Source organism: Homo sapiens, chromosome 4 (genome assembly GCF_000001405.40).
Source record: "Homo sapiens chromosome 4, GRCh38.p14 Primary Assembly".
NCBI classification, from domain to species: Eukaryota; Metazoa; Chordata; class Mammalia; order Primates; family Hominidae; genus Homo; species Homo sapiens.
The window spans coordinates 12,925,907-12,947,401 of record NC_000004.12 but is presented as its reverse complement, the minus strand read 5'-3'; the positions used below and the strand labels follow the sequence as shown (position 1 = coordinate 12,947,401).

Below are 21,495 nucleotides of genomic sequence, written 5' to 3'. Positions count from 1 at the left end.
GCATTAAAATTAGATTTGTAATATTTCATAAAATTAACTAAAAAGAAAAACATAATAATAATCGAATTTTCTACTTTTTTCCACTATCGACCCCTAGTATTTTTCCACTAACTACCCTCTCTATATATGTAGATGCCTGTGTGTGTGTGCATGTATTTATATAAGTAGAATCACAGTATAATTTTCATAAAAACTGTGATGTAGATATAATATTTCCAAATGCATAATTTTAATGGCTATACAATATTGGATATATGGATGGACTATTCCTCATTTAATGACTATCAAATTGATAAAACTTTAACTGCAAGAAACATTCTTATGTATTTTCTTACTTGTATATTAAGCATCGCAGGAATAAATCTTGGAAATGAGATGTCTGAATCAATGTGTATGCCTCATTGAACTATTAATGCAAAATGCTCTCTAGAAAAATTGTGTGAATTTATACTAAGTATCCATTTTCTATTAACACTAAGTTTCTGTACCTTTAAAAACCTTTTGCCAGTATAATATGGGAAAAATTATAACTTTAAAAAAACTATTTACTTAGCACAATGAGAATGAATATCTTTTAAAAATGTGCTTTTTATTTTAGAACAATTTTAGATTTACAGAAAAAATTTGAAAATAGAGAATTCCCAGACCTATGTCTCCTATTATTAACATCTGACATTAGTATGGTACAGTTGTTAAAGCTAATGAACCAGCATTGATACATTATTATTAACTAAAGCCCATGCTTTTTTCAGATGTTCTTAGTTTTTACCTAGGTCCCATTTTCTGTCCAGGATACTATATTACTCTCCGTAGTCATGTCTCCTTAGTGTCCTTCTCATCTTAAGAGTTTCTCAGACTTTTGTTGTTTTTGATGACCCTGACACTTTTGAGGCATATTTGTCAGATATTTGCAGAATATCTCTTCATTGGGATTTGCCTGGTGTTTTTCTTATTATATTGAGATTATGTGCACAACAAGAGAGGTGAAGTGCTTTCATCAGAGTGTATCCAGGGCACATGCTGTCAACATGACTTATAAATGCTGGTGTTAACCATGTTCGCCTGGAAGAGGTAATGTTGGTCAGTTTCTGCACTATGAAGTTATTCTGTTTTTCTCCATTTCCATACTGTACTCATTGGGATGAATTCACTATGAATAGCCCCACACTTAGGGAGAGAGAAGTTACCCTTCATCTAACCTGAGAACTAGGTATCTACATAAATTATTTGGAGTTCTTCTGAAAGAGAGATTTGTCTATTATACATTTATTTATTTATTCATTCATTTATATATTTATATCGGTATGGCCTCATGGATATTTATTCTATACTTTGTGTTATTTGATCCTATTTTATTTAATATTTTGCTCAAATTGTGTCAACTTTGGCTATTGGGAGCTCTTTCAGTTGGCTCTTATGTCATGTTAATATGACCTCAGCTAACTTCCTCCCTCCCTCCCTCCCTCTCTCCCTCCCTCCCTTCCTCCCTCCCTCCCTCCTTCCCTCCTTCCTTCCCTAACTCCCTTCCTTCTTCCTTCCTTCCTTCCTTTTTTCTTCCCTCCCTCCATCCCTCCCTCCTTCCCTCCGTAACTCCCTTCCTTCTTTCCTTCCTTCTTTCCTTCCTTCCTTCCTTCCTTCCTTCCTTCCTTCCTTCCTTCTGAGCATTTGTTTTTATTTGCTGGCACTACAAGGTGTTCCAGGCTCATCTTTTATATTTCCTGCCCAGAATGAAAATATTTTAATATGTAATTCTAGTATTACTGTTTTTCTGAGAGTTTTTTCATTTAGTTTATTTGCTTATTTTTTCATTAAGATATTTGTCTGTTTATTGATTGATTTTAAAGATTTTTAAAAACACCTTTAAGGCAATTAAATGGCCTTAAATGAAAAGCTGCAATATAGTTGTTAAACTCACACACTGGGTTAGTTATAATAGTGGTAGTTGTGGGTGGATGGGTAAGGGAGAAGGGAGAGAGAAAGAGAGAAAGAGAAATTTTCTTTCTTAAACTATTAATCTTTAGGTAATGTTCTGCTTTTATCATGCCCTTATCATCTAATACAATTAATTGTTTGTTTCCTACATTTATGGAATATTGCTCTTTCTGTCACAACGTTAAAAATATATTTTTATTTATTTTCTCCTGGTATAATGGAAAGTGCACTGCATTCACAGCCATCACTTATTGGAACATCTATTTTTTACTAAATAGAATGCTGGCCCTTTTATATGTATTATTAGTAAATGTCACAAGAACTCTGAAAGGTACATGTACAATTAGCTTTGCCATACAGATAAGAAAATCAGGTCTTCAAGAGGATGCATTGCACAAGGTCAAACTTTTACAACATTGCAGATTTGGGATATAAACCAACAATTCCCTGACTGCGCTAACTATGCTCTTTGTTCTTTTCCATGCTCACTAATTATCAGAAGATATAGATATAGATATAGATATAGATAGATATAGATTTTTTTTTGACAGAGTCCTGCTCTGTTGCCCAGGCTAGAGTGCAGTGGCACAATCTCGGCTCACTGCAACCTCCAACTCCTGAGTTCAAGTGATTCTCCTGCCTCAGCCTCCTGAGTAGCTGGGATTACAGGTGCATGCCACCATATCCAGCTAATTTTTATATTTTTTAATAAAGATGGGGTTTCACCATGTTGGTCAGGCTGGTCTTGAACTCCTGACCTTGTGATCTGCCTGCCTTGGCCTCCCAAAGTGCTGGCATTACAGGCGTAAGCCACCACACCCAGCCTATATGTTTTTAATTTTAGTAAGAAACATTCAATCTGCTTCAACATCAGGAATTCATTTGTCATTGTTAATTTCTTCATTATAAAATGAACTACTAGAAATAACACAGAATATAGTGTTTGTCATTGAAATGTGATGTTAGGTAATTGGGTAAACTGGCCATACAGTTTACGCATACTGTTGCTTCTGTGTCTGGTGCTGGGACTGAATTCAGCAGGGCAGAAAGGAAGGAGGATCTGTGGGCCCAGCTATTGCTCCATGGTAACAAGGGAAGCAAGCAAACCAGTGACAACTGACACTACCCCAACCAGCAATCCCATTGCTGGGTATATCCCCAAAGGATTATAAATCATTCTACTACAATGACACATGCACATGTATGTTTATTGCAGCACTATGTACAATAGCAAAGACTTGGAACCAACCAAAATGCTTATCACTGATAGACTGGATAAAGAAAATGTGGCACATACACACCATGGAATACTAGGCAGCCATAAAAAAGAATGAGTTCATGTCCTTTGCAGGTACATGAATGAAGCTGGAAACCATCATCCTCAGCAAAGTAACACAGGAACAAAAAACCGAACACCACTTGTTCTCACTCGTAAGTAGGAGTTGAACAATGAGAACACATGGACACAGGGAGGGGAATAGTGATGACACACTGGGGCCTATTGGTGGGTAGAGGGCAAGGGGAGGGGGAGCATTAGGACAAATATCTAATGCATATGGGGCTTAAAAGCTAGATGACAGATCGATAGGTGCAGCAAACCACCATGGACATGTATACCTATGTAACAAAACTGCACGTTCAGCACATGTATCCCAGAACTTAAAATAAAATAAAATAAAATAAAAATATGGCTGAAGCTTTACTTTTGCCTTCAAACGTGGCTCAAAATTCTGTCATGGCCACCCTAATCCAGACCCTCAAAAGTAAGGAGATTCTATGAAACAGAGCTCCTGCTTAGCTGAGATGACACAATACAAATAGTCACTATTTTGTTTTGCATTCTTTGAAGTAGAAACTGTGGGACAATTGCTCACTATCCATCTTCTCTTTTGTTGACACCAATGGACCCCTGATTTTCATTCAGAGTAATAATGTTTACATCTAAAATAAAATAAAAACAAAACAAAACAAATAAAACACCATCCTCCTTTGTGGGTGGCCCTGATTGGCAATGGTAATTTGTGGTAATGACAATGAGTTCTAGTCAATGAAATGTAACCGGAAATCACTTTGTAAAACTTATACAGAGCTTAGGCTCATATGTTCCATACCTTTTGTCCTTTGCCTCTCATCTCTTTTTGAAAGACTGATACAATGTTGGAGGCAAAGCAGTCATTTTCAGCCCTTTCGCAACCTCGGTGAGATAAGCATGAAAACAAAAGCCACACACAGAATGATGAAGCAGAATGGCCATGGACCATGTGTCCTTCATGAAATAATAAAGCCACTGAATCAGCCATCAAGCACGGTATACCTATCTTCTTGTTTTGTGCAAAGATTAAAACTTCTGTTTGGCTAAGTGAATGTATGTTCTTTTCTGAAAAATGCCACTGATCATATACTTCATTGACACACCATTGTAGATAAGAAATAAACAGAACTATTAATAATATGGCATGAGTTAATAAAGAATATTTGGACTTTGGTGGGCTATACAGTATTTGTTTTATTGAGAAATGCTGGAAGGGGGCATTCTACATGCAAAGCAATTTATCTAGTTCAAACTAAAGAAGAAAGTAGTGGTGATGGAGTTGGAATGCTGTAGTAGGAGAAACGATTAGATAGATTTTTTTTATTTATTGGAATGGGGAAGTCAGGCATTTTAAGTCTGCACAGACTACTTTTGGTAATGAGGTATTAATCACAAACATTCATAAGAATATGAGAGAAATAAGGGATATCATCTCTTTAGCTCTTCCGATACTCTGGGCTCTGTGTTTGTAGACTGGAATATATGAAAGATATGAAGAACTGAAATAGCACATCCATATTATTTGATTCATGCCCCGCATCCAAGTCACCTTACTTCTCTTTGTTTACTTAATGTTTATTCTTTGCAAAAGGCTTGATTTCATCAGGTAGGTTTGTCACTGCCATATACAAATGCCTTTATTGGAATGAGATTAGCACCAAGTCATTTCAGATATGGCTGACCTCTGTCTTGTCCACCCCTACCTAGTTAAATTTAGTTCACTTATGGCTTCAATCACTTGTGGACAGGGAAGCAAAATTGTTTTCTTTCATAAGTGTCATAAGCCTTAAAATTTGTTAAAGAGTTAATTAAGTTATTTTTTTGAAAAATAAAAGGCAGTCTTAGTTATGGTAATCTCCTGAGCCCCATAAGATCTGCCTATAGTGGGTCAAGTACAAGGATATTGTAAAGTGAAAGTGGAGAGTCAGTAGAGACAGAGAGAGTGAGCACATGTTCAGAAGCAGGTGGATGACTGCTTCTGAGAACAATAACTAAGAGGAGGCAAGAAGTGACGGGATCAACCTCCCAAATGAGCAGGGTGGCTGGAGCTCACTTCTTGTTGAGAGTGCAGATGGTGTGGAAGCTAGTCTCTAAGATGGCCCAAATGATTTCCACATCTCAGTACTAACTCCCTAGTGTAGCCCCCATTGAAATTACACGAATGTCAATCTATGTGGCCAGTAGTATGTGGTAGAAGTTTTAGTATATTATTTCCATGATTAATTTATAAAATGCTGTAGCATCCCTCTTAGGTGTACTCTCTCTCTCATCACTTTGTTAGGACAGGCATGCTGGTGCTTCTTCCTCCTCTTATAAGGATACTAGTCATATCGGATTAGAGCTTTACTTGTATAGCCCAGTTCAGTCTCGGTTACATTTTTAAAGGCTGTATCTCAAAATATATTCATGTTGGAAGTTAGGGCTTCAGTATAAGGTTTTGAGGGGACACAGTTCAGTCCATAACACTTTGGGGAAATCCAGCTACCATTTCATGAGAATACTCAGACAACCTAGGGAGAGGCCTACATTGTGAAAACCAGAGGTCAATAGCCCAACCAATAACCACATGAGAGAGCTTGGAAGAGGCTCCCTCTGCCCTGTCAAGGCTTCACCTAACTGCAGTTCCAGTTGATAGCTTGACTGCAACACCATGGTAGACCCTGTCTACCCATGTCCAATATCATCCAGCTAAGTCAGTCCTGGATTTCTGTCCTTGAAACTCTATGAGATAAATGCTTGTTGTTTTAATCTTCTAAGTTTTGGGGTAATTTGTTGCATTGAAACAGATAACTGATACCAATGGGTATGGGAAGAAGTAGATATACAGATGAGAATACTATTGGTTAACTAATGCTAGTTGGTCTCAGATTTTCCATAAATAAGAGGATAGCGATTTTAGTAGAAGGATTAGACCTGAGTGATGAGTTGGGAGTTAGCACAGTGAAGAAGAGCCGCAAAACAGAAGAGTAGAAAAAGATCCCTCTGGGTCCAGCTGATGTTGCCGACCATCCTTCTGAGGTGTCCAGCCACCTACATGTAGAGTTGGGGTTTTGCACCTTAGAAGTGGTAGAAGGCAGAGAATACAAAGGGCTTGAGGATATTGATGAACAAGAACTATAATCCATCATGGATACTCTGCTTAACTTTTGCTGAAGATTCCTCCACAGTTAGCCACGTGTACATCTTGTGCATGCCTGCTTCACTTTGACACAGGGGTATGGGCTCATCTGGATACTTGCCTCCTCTTGACAGTAGCATCTTACTTTTTTGTTCTGGTCTCTGTCATCCTGGGCTTATCACTGCTTTCTGAACTCGCATTCTAACAGCACTCTCAACAATCCTGTGAGGTCTGCAAGTCATGGACTGTTTTCCTGAGTTGAGGCCCAGGAAGATTAAGTGATTAATCTAGACTTCCACAGCTAGCCAGTGGCAGAACCAGGCCCAAGACTTGGAACTTCTGGCTCCTTGTCTTATACCATGGCTTTTAAATTTCTTGTTTAGGTTTTACTTATTCTCACTGTAGAGGACCAGACACAACAGGTACATTGGGAGCAGGCCACTGAAAGATGAGCAAATTGAGCTGCTTTTAGGATTTGTGCATCCTAATATCATAAAATATTTTTCTAACATTTTCGGTTTGGCATAGCACATTGTGCCAACATTCCTTTCCTTTCATTTTTAAACCCACATGTATTTTCAGGGAAATTAATCTCATATGTTTCTGATTCATGTACTGTGTAACTCATCAAAATATTGTTTTATAACAGTTCTTGGCAGTCCATGAAACCATTTAAAATATAGACTTTTCCCCTCTTCCTACCATAGAAGCCATGTTTTACCAAGAGCACAGGACAAATTAACTCCAAAGGGTTTTCTGGATAACCTTTACGTGAACACTTAAAGACTCCATTGGATTTTCTGTGACCATCTAGAATGCAAGTCAACAAATATCCACCAAACATGCACTATGTATAGGTGAAATGTGTTGGAATCTAGAGGTATAAAGATAAATGAAAGGTGGCCCTGGGTTTTCAACGACTGCAGTGATGGAGTTAGAGAATGGTGACAGTCAAAATATTTGTTAAGCACTTTAAATGTGCTTGCTACTGGGGTAAGCCCTTTATAAACATCTCATGTAATGCTCTCAACCACTATATGTGTTGCTGACCCTATTTTACCTATAAGGAAACTGACGCTTGGGGAGTTTATCAAGCCAAATCCTACAGTGGTTGGCAGTGGATCCAGGGTACAATCTCTGGCAGTTTGGTTGTAGAGTTCAGTCTTAAGCTGTTATATAGATTAAGAAAGGAAGACCAGAGAGGCTGAGCTTCATGCCTAATTTGTTGGAGGTAGAGATGGAACTTCAGTGAGTTTCATTATCATTAATGACATATAATTTACTTCTCTTTAAACTTTAATTTTGACCACAAGCTTATTTCCTTCTGGGTTCTGTGTTTGTATTGGAGGAATTCTTAGGTAAAGATCATGATCATGCAACCAGAAGTCCTGCTCATGCCTTGTGCGTGGCTTACCTGACATGTCGGCTCCATAATTATGTGAGCAAGTGAGCCTTCTCATGTAATGAGGCCCTCTAAGAAAAACTCTATTATGTGCACGCTTTACAGAACAATCCACAATGTGTTCTCTCTAAATTAATTTAGAGAGAGTAAAAACATCATTATTTATATTAATATTATACGAAGAAGATTTTGAATATTTTCATGTATTTTGAATGTTTCTATATGCCAGACATTGCTAGATGCTTTCTTTAAATTACTCAGTTTTATCCTCACAAGAGCCCCCATGAGGTACATAGAGTTAGTCCCTCATTTTTCAGAGGAACTGAGGGACAGTGCAGTGAAGTAACCATTAAGAAGCAGTAATCTCTCATATTCGGTGGCATGGGATTTGCAAGTGAACTAATGATAAAGCATGATTAGGAATAATCTGGCTAGTTATGGTATGGAATTATGCATCTTTAGAATATTGGAGTTTTATGAAATTATAAGATATTTGAGATGAAAAAGACCTACCTTAGGGAGCTGATGCTTCCCAATGGGCAATCTGAGAACTAGTAGTATAAAAATAAGAAAAATTTTGTATATACATATGTGTGTGTGTATGTATATATATGTATGTATAATTTACATAAAATTTATAAGATTTGTATATGTGAATATATGTGTGTATACATGCATATATATAGTCTGATGATGCATAATAACTAAATAAGCACTAATCCAAGGTCTAGTACATTAACAAAGCCTTTCCATGCACCTGTGGGTCCCTGTCCTAACTCAACTCCATGGTAACCAAGACCAGGTAATCACTGTGTTTATCTTTGTTCTTCCTTTTTCATAAAATAATTTAATGCCATATATATACATATATATATATAAAATAAATAACATGTTGTCTAATGTCACTTATTTTTGAGCTTTTTATAAATGGTGGATATTCTGTATGTTCTTCAGTGACTTCTTTACTCTAGATTATATTTCCCAGAATAAACTATGTTTTGTGCAAGGAATTATATTTCAGTCATTTTCACTGTCTTGTAATATTTTAGAGAATATATATATTATATATATATATATATATAGTTTGCCATGTTTATTATTAGTAATTGTCATTATGGTCATTAGGATTATCTCCTTTCTTTGTATTTTGTTATCAACTTTTAAAAAATATGCTAATTATTGTAAAAGACTTTGTTGCTTGAGGGCAAGAGTTTCTCGTAGTAATATGATTTATACCTGCTGCTTATGCAAATGTCCACAAATGTAAAATAATGCTAAATCATTCTAAACTTGTTATTTTAATTTATACTCCCAGTAGAAGAGTATAAGAGTTTCTTAATTCTGTAGCTATGTGAACTATTATTTACTTTTTGTCAATTTGGTTGCTGTATGATCTTAATTTTTATTTCCTTCTGATACTATTGAAGTTGGACATCTTTACAATCTTATTGGGCATTTCTGTTTTAGTCAAGGTCTAATGAAAAATACAAAACTGTCTTCAAGTATTTAAGCAGAGGATATTATTGCAGAGCATTAGTTACGTAGGCAATGGAGTTGCCAAGAGTTGAACAAGAGATTCACAACATCACAAAGCACTGTAACCCCTAGGCTGCCTGGCAGACAAAGGCAGGAAATCTTGTAACCAGCACCAATGACCTGGGGCCTCTTCAGCTCCCTTGTGAATCTCTGGCTTAATGTTGAGTCTTGGGTTCAGCTCTCTCATCTGTCCTAAGGACAGAAGAAACCTGAGGGACAGTGAGAAAGTAGTGAGTTCAATAGTTTGGAGGTCTAGTGAGGGTAAAGAACTGACAGGAGGGTCACTAGAGCAAGGACACCCAAGAATGGAAATGGGGATCAGAAAATTCAATCTTTAAATGAAAGATTTTGAATGAAGTGCAGCTCCTGGTGACAACACTGTGCTTATGACCCAAGGGAGTGAATATGTAAAGTCAAGTGGAAAGAAAAGTCACTGGAGATTAGGAAAGTGAGGAATGGAGAGGTGAACAGGGCCACTGTGTTGTACAACTCCAGGGGGAGCCCTTCACATAGTCAGCCTGACCCTGTTTAGGCTAAGACACAAAGGTCCTCTCCCACATACACACAAGTATGTGAAAGTAGAAATGTTTCCTTTTTTTGTTTTGTTCAACACTGTATCCCTAGCAACTAGAACATGGTCTGTCAACAGGTACTCAATGAATTTTTGTGGGATGAATGAATTAAGGCTGATGTCAGTGGCAATGAGAACAAGATAATTAAATTCACAGCTAAAGGCTTTAATAAATGAGGGAGGTTGACTTGGAGGTCAGTAGATGACAGCAACAAGTTGGCAATGATGGAGATAAAACAGAATGGCCTGACCTTTATAAGCAATGGGAGTTCCTTTGCTTTTGGTGTGTGTGAGGTGGATAGTGACCTAGAAGCTGTAACGACAAGCCAACCCTCTCCTAAGCCACATGAGATGTGAGATAAAAGATGGTTCACTTGAAAACACTGTAGGAGAAATGAACTCGTAAGTTGGAGTCAGGTAGATTTTTAGATAAGACAGTAGAGTAAATGTTCTGGGAGGAGACCAAGGATCAAGTAGAATTTACTGATTATAGATGGGTAGTTCCAAGGCACCACAGACAGCAATAGGAGGGAGGATATGTTGGTCAGAGTCCGGACAGAAAAACAAATTTGACTCAGGTGGTTCAACTTAGAGATTTTTAATGACGGAAGACCATTTAGCCGTGTGTAGGCAGGGTTAAGGAAACCAGCTAGAAAAGTGAAGGTATCCTGAGACTAGCAATGATTGACAGCCATTACTATTCCTGAGTCTGAAGTGGCAAGGACAGGAAACTGTGAAAGAGCCCGGTGAGAGCCAGAATCATAGAGGCAGAAATGCCTAAGGGAACAGAGGTATAGAGCCACTGCCTGGAGCACAGCAGAGAACCAGGGAGGAAGCAGGGGAGAATAAGGCCCCCCTCCATTCTGTCTACCTAACCCATGATTACCTGCTTCGATCTTTCAATGGCTGTACTCACCTGCAAATTAGAGGGCAGGGAGCCTGGAAGCTGCCATTCATAGGAGTTTGCTTCTAGGGCAAAAGTGGGGCAGGTAAAAGCAAAGCATGCATTTGGGGTGGTGGTGGTGGGAGAACATAGACTAGCCAGCAAAGAGGGAAAAGAAGGAGGACTGAGTAAGAGGAAGGATAAATAAAGAACACTAGAGATGGGAGTCTGGCTGATAATAAGGGGCTGAGTTAAGGTTGAGTGGGGAACGAGATGGTTTGGAGTATGCACTAAATGTGCTAGAGAGGGTGCAAGCACTCCCCTCCTTGCTTTAATAAAATCTAGCTCACTCTGAGGAGTCTACCTTTTACTTCATGTCTTTGTGATGTGTTCGCTGGGAGCTCTTGCTTTCTTAAGTACTCATTAGAAACATGTGCTATAGTGGAGGCTTTGGAGCTGGGACATGCTCATGTTCTACCATTCCTGGACAAGAACAGAAATGGATAAGGGCAGGGCCATGCTGATTAGAGACAGATGTTCCAAACTGCTCCAATTGCTTCCCAATTGTACCTCCAGAGTGCTACAGAAGCCCTGCAATATACTTCCACCTGGAAATAACACAAGCCATTTGGCCCAGCTAAGCATGATCACTTCGTAAGTCTTTTCCATGTCAAAGACTTTCTTTTGCTCACCATCACAATGCTGCTTCAGTCTATCATCCCCTCCTAAGTAAAATGTGTCCTTTAATATGCCCTAGATTACCACATATTTCATGCAGTTTTCCTGTTAAAATTCCCAAATAGAAATGAACCTGTTTTTCTAATTAAATGGACCTAATTAAAATGGGTTGCTTTTAATTATGATCTTGTCCTTAATTAATTAAACTGAAAATCAAGTAATTGATTATTGGAGATCCTATAATGAGAAGAACACACTGCAGTATGTAGAAGACCCAAGTTCTGCTCTAGAAAGCTAGGGATCTGTGTATGTGTCTACACAATGACCTTTGTGTAAAAGAGATTATTATCTTGGCAAGGAAAGAAATGTCAAGGCACTTAGGATGATGGTGTCATTGGGGAAAGGGCCTAACATTTAATATTATTCACCGTTATATTCCATTCCAAAGGTTTGCACTTGAAACTTTGGAGTTTCTTCATCTGTAAGAGGAAAGCAATACTACCTATAATGCTTAGGATTATAAAATTCCACTTCCTCTAAGCAGCCCTACCTCATTAAGGGATATTTGGTAATACGTTAGGTGTTTTTTGTTTTTATCAATGATGAGGGATGATGCTGGCATTAAGTGTTTGGGGAAAGCATTAAGCAACATTCCTCAGTGTGAGTACAGTCCTGTCCAGTGAAGGATTGTTTCATCCAAAATGCTAATAGTACTCCCATTGGGAGGCACTGCATCAATTACATACAAGCAAGGGGTTTTTCTGTCTCCTGGTTCTGTGTTTTTCAGCCAGCAGTTGCTTCTCCCCATTCATGATCTGTGCTTCCACCCTCACTTCCCCTATGGGTCCCTGGTCACTTTTCTGCTGGCTGCAGTTCCTACTGATGGTGTGAGCGATATAGTCTGACCTTTGGAGTTGGATCTATTTAAGTAAAATTTCCAACTCTGCTACTCCTTGGCTGTATGCTTTTGACAAAATCTATCTAACTGTTCTTAGTTTTAAAATACTTCTTCAAAGAAGATATTTAAGTGCATCTTATTAGTCTCGTATCCTTTTGGGGCTCTAGCAGAGTATGCACAAATTTAAAATAATTTCTGACTCACAGAGGTCTTATGAAAATTAAAGAGATGATACCTGCAAAGAGCTTTATATAGAATACAACACATGGAAGGCATCGAATAAATGGTAACTATTGTTTCCTGTCTGCAGAGTGAATGTATCTGGTATTTCATGCCATGGTGAGAAACTCAACAGTTAGGCCCCAGAATATCTAGTAGATCCTAGCAACAGTTTGAAAATTTGTGGCAGCTAAAGGAGGCAAATATAAGTTAAATTTTATAAATCTGAATAATGAAATCATTTTAGAGGTGGCTGAAGGTTAAGAGGCTGAATTGAGGAGGAAATGTTATTCTATCTGAATGCATTCACCTAAATGTTATTCTATCCGAATGCATTCACCTAATCATACACATTTTAGGATAATGCCAGGTTGTATTCTCCTGAATAGAGGATTTTATGTCTAATTTCCACCACTTGCTTGCAGAGAATGGCATCCTATGTAATAGTTCCTCTATGCTACCTTACCCTTGCTGAAAGCTCTAAAGATGGAGCATTCAGGCTTTATTTTGAACTTCCTAGATCGAGAAAACGTTCCCAAGCCCAAAATGTTGTTGTAGTATATTTGAGTGTGGATTTTAACAAAGTACAACTCTTCTGAAATAATTGACCAGCACTAAAATGTTCACTCTTCAAGTTAGACTTTTGTCATTCTTGAAACAGGAAATGGTTCTCTGCAAATATTTAGAAATGCTGTGGAAACTCTGAAGTTCACAGCCATGGCAACCCTCAGGATTTCAGGCTGTAAAAGGCATCATGCCTTCCTTAAGATAATTATTTAATTTCCAAATATTTGTCATAAGTGAAAATATGGGGGCTGTCTTAGAAGAGGCAAGCTCTTCCAGTCCATTTTCAGAAGGCCCTGGTTGGCCTCTGACCCCCACAGTCCTATAAACTGCAGCAGAAATTCCCTTTCCACTTAAACTGCATCTGCTAGGCAAGGTTTCAATAAAGCAGCAATTCATGAAAAGGTTTCCCCCTTACCACAAGTGTCAAAGTTCTCCTTGTTTAAGCTAACTGTTGGCAAAGTGTGGCTGTCCTCAGCTGTGAACTTTGCCTCATTGCTTCATTGGCAAAAATAGACTTCACATCCAATTGTAGTATGTACCAAAGCTCTACATTTATATGAAGATGATGTGAACTGGAATAGAATGAAAAATAGTATACATTTTATAGGTTCCTGAAATGAATCTGGTCACATATAATCAATTTTATCTGAAAGTCCTTGAAAAGTTGTATTTGCCTCTGTTTACTTGAGTAAATATACAAAGATGAATATACCAAAAAATACCAAAAGAAAATGTACGAAGAAAAGCCATTTGGCTTGGAATCAGGAATTTTGGTTTTAACGTCCACCTTTGCTTCTTTATTGGCTAGCATTTTATTGATAAACTACATAGGTTAAGGATACCTTCCCTTTTTTTCTTTTTCACTGTGTCATTGAAGAGATAGACAGTAGAGCCATTTAAGTTGCAGAAGACAGAGGAGGTGGAAAATAATACAGGTAAGAAAGAACTCATTTTATGAGAAAGATAATTATTTTAATTTGTAATTATATTAAGCTTGAGGCCCCTGTGGAGTGTTTTTGATGAAGTTGGATATGGTCATGTGACTTTCAAACAGGAAATAAAGTTTGGGTATTATTAACATTTAGATGAGAGTTGAGGTCTGGGTATGGATGTAGTCACTGAGGTGGGTTCTTTTTTGGTGAGAAGAAAAGAGGGCTAAGGCTAGCACCTTAGCTTAAGAAGTGAGGAAAGCAGAAAAGCCAGTGAGGAAGGCTTACCGAGAACAGGTTCCCTGATAGGTGGAGAACTGGGAAAGCCTTGTCCAGGGAGACATCAAAGGAGGAATGAATTATGCCTGCTGGATGCATCTGAGGAGTTTAGTGAGGTAAGGGTGGCAGTTTGAGCACTTTTAGTGAGAGCGGAAACCAGGCTGCAGGAGGGTGAGGAATGTAGTCATTTAGCCCAGAGAGAAGAGGGATTATGGCTGCCTTCAAATAGTTGATAACTTCTTATGGAAACTAGCTCTCATCTCTTTACCTTTACAGGACAAAACAATGAGCAATGCAAGGTCAGTTTGGGTTATATTTAAGTAGATATGCCTAGCAGTTAAAATTACTAAAGAAGTAAAGTAGCAGCCTTAGAAATTGGTAAGGTTCCATCACAGGGGTCATTTTGGCAGAAAACCAACAAAGAAACGAAACATAGAGATGGTTCATTGCATTCCACCTCTTCGATTCTGTGATTCTGTGAGTCTGTCCTGAAACCATCAAAGAGCAGGGGTGATACCAGCCTGTTCATTGTCCTTGCAACCTTAGGTAGCCAGCAGCTTATACCCTTGTCCATCCTTCCCAGGCCACAGAGGTCTGTAAGACTGATTATTATCTTTTCCTGTAATGTCCAATATCAATGGGACAGAGTTCACTGGGACGGCCTTGTGGTGAGCTGTTGAGTGTTGAGCTCAGACATGAGAAAGCCCAGGACTGTCTCAAACTTTGCCAGGACTCACCAGGGGATCCTCCCAGCATCTCTAACCTCATTTTGCTGCTGTTTTGGGAGAAGACCCTTGGCATTTATGTATGTCTGTGCTGCTTCACTAGTTGATTAAAGGAAAAATAAACACCACTGGGTTGGAGGTCCGCCTTTTACTTGGGACAAGACTACATATAGCTTCTGGGTTTCTGAGTGGGTATTTCAGAGGTGGCTAACCATTGTGCTAGTGCAGAGATTTTTCAGGTTGTGAGAGCTTCTCTTAGTAGGCATTGCAAACGTACAAATTAGGTGTTTTGACAGCAAAAAAAAGTCTAAAAACTCCAATTCAAAGGACGAAAGAAGCAGGAGCTCGTGCAGAAAAAAATGTGGGGAGACAGCCAAAATAAGAACTTCAGGGACTATGAGCACCAAAGAATTATGAAGCCCCATTCCCCTTCTTTTCTATGAAATTCATAAACAATTCAAAGACATGCAATAATTTTAAGAACATCAAATAAAGTTTTTATTTTTATAATGATAATGATTCTTATATTTTAAAAAATTCAAAATCTTTAAATAATGGTATTCATGCAAGGTTTGCTTGTACCTATTGTTGAAACTATTCATGTGTCTATGTGCACACAGCACATGCTTGTAAGTTTGGAGACTAAAAATGTAACAGCAGCTTTAAGAACAAGGAATTATATATCTTTCACAATTAATTAATTGATAAATTTAAGTGCTTAAAATACTAGATGGAGGGCTATAGATGTGAAAAAGACAGTTAACATCACTGCCTCAAAAGACTCCCCATCATTTTCTCTTTAAGTGACTTTATTTTTTTGATGTATACAACATATAAGCCTATAAGAAAAGATTTCCACTTATTCCTTCCTTGAGTTGCTGTGAGTCATATTCTTTTGAAATAATTTAAAAATATTAAATTTAGGAGACTGCAATTATAATTCTGATGGCTATTTCAAGTAAAGTCAACTCATTAATGTACAAAAAATTCTCGTAAGTAAAGAGTTTCAGAAAATAGCTTATTTAATATAGAAAAATTTTGATGTTTATGTGGGAAAAATACTCAATTTTCCATAAGTCTCTAAGTTTGCCAATACTATCAAAGCTCATAATGTCAACCAAGACATTTAGCAAAAATTGGCTGGGTGCAGTGGCTCATGCCTGTAATCCCAGCACTTTAGGAGGCTGAGGCGGGTAGATCACTTGAGGTCAGGAGTTTGAGACCAGCCTTGCCAGCATGGCAAAACCCCATCTCTACTAAAAACATAAAAATTAGCTGGCCCTGGTAGCACACGCTTGTAATCCCAGCTACTATGGAGGTTGAGGCACAAGAATTGCTTGAACCCAGGGGGCGGAGGTTGCAGTGAGCCAGGATCATGCCACTACACTCCAGCCTGGGTGACAGAGCAAGATTCTACCTCAAAAAAAAAAAAAAAAAAAAAAAAAAAAAAAAAAAAAAAAAAAGACATTTAGCAAAAATAAATAAATGGAAAAATATATATGTACATATTTATACTTATGTATATTTATGTACTTGTATTTGTACAGGAATAAACTTTTTGGAAAACAATGAACCTTAAGTAAACTGTGGACATCAGCCAATCCTTCTTATACCTTTTGCTATGAACAGAATGTTGTTATCACCCCAAAATTTATATGTTGAAGTCCTAATCTCCAAAGTATTTGAAGGTGAGGACACTGAAAATAATTAGATCATGAGAGTGAACCCTTTATGAATGGGATCAGTACACTTATAAGAAAAGACATGACAGAGATCATCTCTCTCAGCCACGTGAAGATACAGCATGAAGACAACTGTTTTAAAACCAGAAAAGTAACCTTCACCAGGCATTTAATCTGCTGGCACCTTGAACTTGCACTTCTCAGCCTCCAGAACTGTGAGAAATAAATGTTGCTTAAGCCATCTAGTTTATGCTATTTGTAATAGCAGCATGAGCAGACTGAGACCTCTACTGAGAGTAGAGGTGCTACTATAACAAATATTTTAAAATGTAGAAGTAGCTTGGGAACTAGGTAAAGGGTAGAGTCTTGAATTGCATGCTATAAAAGCTGATATTGCCATGAAGAGACTTTTAAAAGCAACTTGAGTGAGGGCTCAGAAAAGAAAGAGGAAAGCTGTAGAGAAAGTTACTCATAAATAACCATGTCTAGAATGTTGGCAGAAATATGGATAGGAAGGGCCATTTTGATGAGGTGTTAGGTAGAAATGCAGAATGAATTACTGGACAATAGAGAAAAGGTGATCCTTGTTGTAAAGTGGTAAAGAAATCGACTGAATTATGTTTATGTTCTAGTGTTTTGTGGAAGGTAGAAGTTGTAAGTGATGAAACTGGACATTTAGCTGAGGAGCTTTTCAAATGTAGTGTTGAAGGAGCTGCTTGGGCCCTTGTGACTGCTCATAGTAAAATGAGAGAAGAGAAAAATAAATTGTAGACAAAATGGTTACACAAAAATATTCCAAAACTGAAAGATTTAGAAACTTCTTAGCTTGTCTATATTATACAAAAATGAGCAAGTATGTTTGGAAGAGAACACCAAGGACATGGTGGGTCAACCATTTGATAAGGAGATTGTGTGGGTGTGAATCAAAGCACTAGTCAGTCACCCGAGCAGAACACTGCCAGTTTAAATGAAAGAGAACTGAGATGAGAGAGGATACAGGAAGAGAATCAAACTTCTTAGATTTTTACAGGAAGGGACTATAGAGTTATTTGACTGTGAATGTGCACTGTTCTTCAAGACAAAAGACAAACAGCCATAAAAGGTGATTAATAAATCATCAGTGTTACCTCCTTGATTTCAAAAGAGAAAACCATCGTCTTGATTTCGGCAGGCCAGGCAGCCTCCACAAGAAGCCTTGGGGTGAGGCCACCCAGAGTCATGAGTGTGGGACACCCCATCGCTCACTGGGCAAAGCCCTGGGGACCAGACCCCTATCTCCAGAGATGTAGAGCAGAATCTCTGCCACAGTGGGTCTGAAAGACAGAAAATAGAGCCAAGAAAAATTGTTCTTCAGCCTTAAAATACAATGCTTACCTTGCTAGGTTTTGAACTAGCTTGAGACCTCTTTCCTATTTATCTTTCTTTCCTATTTATCATTTTTGAAATGGGGATGTATATCCTACGCTTGTCCTGCCATTGTATTCTGGAAACACATAACTGGTTTGGTTTTATACATTCACAAATGGAGAGGAATTTTGTCTCAGGGTGAATCAAACCTCAAGTGTCACCTTTATCTGATTTAGATGATATTTACATGAGACTGTTGACTTCAGACCAGAATTGAGGCTAAAATGAGTTGAGACTGTTGGGGCTGTTGAGATTAAATGAATGTATTTTGCAAGTAAGAAGAAGATAAATGTTGGGTGGACCTGGGACAGAATGCTATGGATTAATTGTTTGTGTCCCTCTCAAATTCATATGTTAAAAGTCCTAATCTCCATTGTGATGGTATTTGGAGGTGAGTCCTTTGGAGCAAGCTAATCAGATCATGAGGGTAGAACTCTCATAAATGGGATTAATGCCTTTGTAAGAAGAGGCATAAGAGAGATGCTATCTCTCTCAGCCATGTGAGGATACAGCAAGAAGGCAACCATCTTCACAAAATGAGGAGGGCCCTCCCAACACATTGAATTTGCAGGCACATTGATTTTGTATTTCCCAGCCTTCAGAACTGGGATAAATCAATTAAACCAATATTAAAACAGAAGATATTCAAGAGAAACTTACTCAGTAAGATGTAGAAGACCATTGTGCTATAAACTGTGTGACACCAGGGATTAATTCTGCTTTGTTGCTCTTTGCATCCCTGCCTTTGAGCAGAGCTGGCATGTAGTTCTCACTCAATAAATATTTGTTGAATAACTATGTTGATTAATTGGTTAGTTATGCCAGTTTTACAAGAAATGGGTGGAGTTGTGTAGTAAATCCTCATTAATTACTGAGTATCTGAAAGTAAGATGCTAAGAAGTAGGGCACAGGATTAGAATTACAGTGATTCTGGAAGCCAATACCCAGAGGCTCAGAAACTAGTAAGGCTGAAGAGGCATTGTCACATGGAAACAAAAGGAAATATGTATTTTTGTGTGTCTAGTATTTGAATAGTTTGGAAAGATATGGTATAGACGGCACAGCCTGGCAATCTGATCACCAACCACCCTTTTAATGTCATATCCAAGTATCTTATAAACTAGTATTGTGAGCTGCTAGAAATGTTTGTAGGAATGAAGGCTTCAGATTGATCATTGTGGTGCTAGAAATAGTGGGGAAGTGAAGAAAGCATTGATAGAACATAAAGGAACTTGGGTCCTGAACACCTATGTGTGCTACGATACTTCCTAGGCTGGCAGGGGGGCTTGGATTTATCGTGGCTATGCAGTTGAGACATCTGTTTCTATCATGAGGGATGCAAATATTAAAGCTAGAAGCATCATCTCTACCAAAAGCTCATGGGATCTTAAATAAACACAGGAAAGTGTCAAGTTTGTGAAGAGTGATATTGGTACTGAAAAGCCAGACAGCATTAAGGGAGAGCTAACTATCCCTTCACCTTTCTAATCCCTCTGTTGGGAACACTATTCCTTCACTACTCTGCTTGGTGAGTTACTCTTGAAGATGCTGCTCACGTGTCCTAGGTGGAGTTTACCCCAGTTCCTCAGTTAGAACTAATTTCTTTTTCCTCTCCATTTTGGAGAGAGGTTTATATTTTGTTTTATCAAAACAATTTTAGGGAAGTTTCTGATATGGCATCTATCATACAAATTTTTTATGTGCTCTCAGACAAAGTCACTTGTTACATAGACAAGCCATCCAGTCCACCTTAGTGAATTTATAAGTAAGTGAATCACAATACCATTGTTTTGGTCATCCAGACATTTGTAATCATCTTTGATGTTTTCTTTCTCAACTGCATGATTCATATTTGATGAATTGAATCAAATTGGAACCAAAGTTGTGTGTATACCGAATAACAATGATACATACAGTCTTTTATGATCTGCTGCTAGGAGGTGTGTTGGGTTGCATCTCAAGAATTTATCATTCAACATTTATTTAAACAGGTACTTATTGAGCACTTACTATGTGCTGGAGATAAATCATCAAGAGAACACAGTATACTTCCTGGCCTTGAGTGTTTAAAAAATTTAGGAATAAATTATTCTTATTGGAATATATCAAAGAGAAATGCTAGTGGGGGTGTTTAACTTTGAAGAACAGTGGTATTTTTAATGGATATAATCTGAACATGTAAATGTTGGACTGGTTGTAAAAAGAAATTCTATTACTTAATAACTCTATGAGAAAAGTCTTGAATGCCATAAGAATCAGGAAATAAGCAGAGGATAGAAATAAATTCTATTTGGCTGTAACATAAAAACAAAGCATGGGTGCCCTTGACTCTTCCACATCTCTCTGCCTAACACCCTACTGAGTTTTAACTTATATTTCTTGAATTCCCTAGGGCGTTGACAGGAAATAATATAAATTTCAGAAATGTTTCTCAAGTGCAGCTGAATACATTTTTTTAAAGTTTAATCATGCTTGCCATCATTTTGAAACTCATGCTTGGCTTTCAGAAGACAAGCAAAGAATAACACAAGACAACTCAAGATGACAGAGTAAAAAGTGATCCGACCTGATTGCTTGACCAGTGGTTAAATTCAGTCTAATAGCCACATATTAGGAAATACTTAAGTGCTTTCTTTTCACTTCCCTTTTCTCTATTTCATGTAGACTCAACAGCCCCAGTTGATAGCGTCATGGAGGTGCTGACAGGCGCCCAGCGGTGGTGTGGTGTGATTAATTCAGTGTGCTGCTGCAATTAGCCCATCAAAGTCATCAGGAGATCAGTGTTTCTCCCACTGCCACAAGGCAAAAATGAGCTGGCTTGTCAGTCCTTGTCTGGCTGGGGCCCACTGTAGGTGTGGGGATGTCACAAAGCAAATGGTCACTGTGTCTGTAAGCAATGAGAGTAAACAGGTCCCTCAAACAGGTCTCTGCTTGTGAAATTGAGTGCATGTTAAGCTAAGCTGTCCTGTACTTGACTTGGAGCAAAGCTCCTTTTCCTGTGTACATTCATTTTATTTTATGGCCATGTAAAAACAACACTGTGGTGCTGGCTCCAGTGGGAAAATCAACAACAACGCTATAGAGCAACCCACAACCAAAAACAGCTGAAGAAAAGAGAAAACACCAGGAGAAAAATATGGAAGCAGATCTTCCAATCACCTCCACAAGCAATGGCCATGTCAACATTGAGAATAATTGATTCTGACAGAGAGGAAAGTAGTAATTGGAATGAAACTTGTTTGAATAACAGCTTAAATGTTTCTTTCCTTGCTCTCCAGATTACATGCACTGTAAAGCCAGATTTCTTTCTCCTGGTTAGCTCACAGTGGACATTCTGTATCCAGGGGGCCTGTGAAA

General features: G+C 38.1%; 1 long non-coding RNA gene across 6 annotated transcripts in view, besides 2 other annotated features; it reads left to right on the top strand.

Moving 5' to 3' along the window:
- The window catches only part of LOC105374493 (uncharacterized), a 98,514-nt gene that overhangs the window by 27,904 nt on the left and 49,115 nt on the right, over positions 1-21,495 (top strand). The window lies entirely within an intron of this gene.
- Positions 13,403-13,697: an enhancer, noted in NCBI's record as "tiled region #2307; HepG2 Activating DNase matched - State 5:Enh". NCBI's record gives its function as "activates a minimal TATA promoter and a strong SV40 promoter by Sharpr-MPRA in HepG2 cells {active_cell/tissue: HepG2}" and the evidence as "EXISTENCE:reporter gene assay evidence [ECO:0000049][PMID:27701403]".
- Positions 13,403-13,697: a silencer, noted in NCBI's record as "tiled region #2307; K562 Repressive non-DNase unmatched - State 24:Quies". NCBI's record gives its function as "weakly represses a minimal TATA promoter and a strong SV40 promoter by Sharpr-MPRA in K562 cells {active_cell/tissue: K562}" and the evidence as "EXISTENCE:reporter gene assay evidence [ECO:0000049][PMID:27701403]".